Raw genomic sequence first — 613 nt, 5'->3', positions numbered from 1 at the left:
CAGAACAGCTTTAGCTGGCAAATATACCTGCTTTACCAACTCCAACTATGTTAAATTGAGCGGGTTGAATTGGCCACGGGGGTGGCCAGTGCTGTAGAGAAATGATGGAAATGTCCGCTCCTGTATCTACCAAACCTTTAAATTTCTTTCCCTGAATAGTTATTTCACAGGTAGGACGTTTATCAGTGATTTGATTTACCCAATAACCTGCTTTGCCTTGTTTATTTGTGCTTCCATATCCTCCTGTTCGTTTAATTTCACTTTCCCCATTCCCACATATGGCACAATCAGGAGCTGTGCTATGCGCTCTCCTGGCTCTGCTTTCCAGGGAACAGAAGCAGATATAATAATTTGAATTTCTCCATTGTAATCTGAATCAATGATTCCTGTATGTATTTGTACCCCTTTTAAACTTAAACTAGAACTTCCTAAAAGTAATCCTATTGTCCCCGCTGGCAAGGGTCCACAGACTCCTGTTGGGACCTTTTTGCGGGGGTTCCCCAGGCAGAAGACTCACAGCTTATGTGCAGCATAAATCTACTGCGGCACTACGGGTTGTGGCGGGGGACAGACATTGTACGGGGGTGAGGGAATGGCCTGAGCTGGAAACGCC

This window comes from Homo sapiens, chromosome 7, assembly GCF_000001405.40.
Source record: "Homo sapiens chromosome 7, GRCh38.p14 Primary Assembly".
Taxonomy (NCBI): Eukaryota; Metazoa; Chordata; class Mammalia; order Primates; family Hominidae; genus Homo; species Homo sapiens.
The sequence above is the reverse complement of the archived record's forward strand: the minus strand, read 5'-3'. Positions refer to the sequence as shown.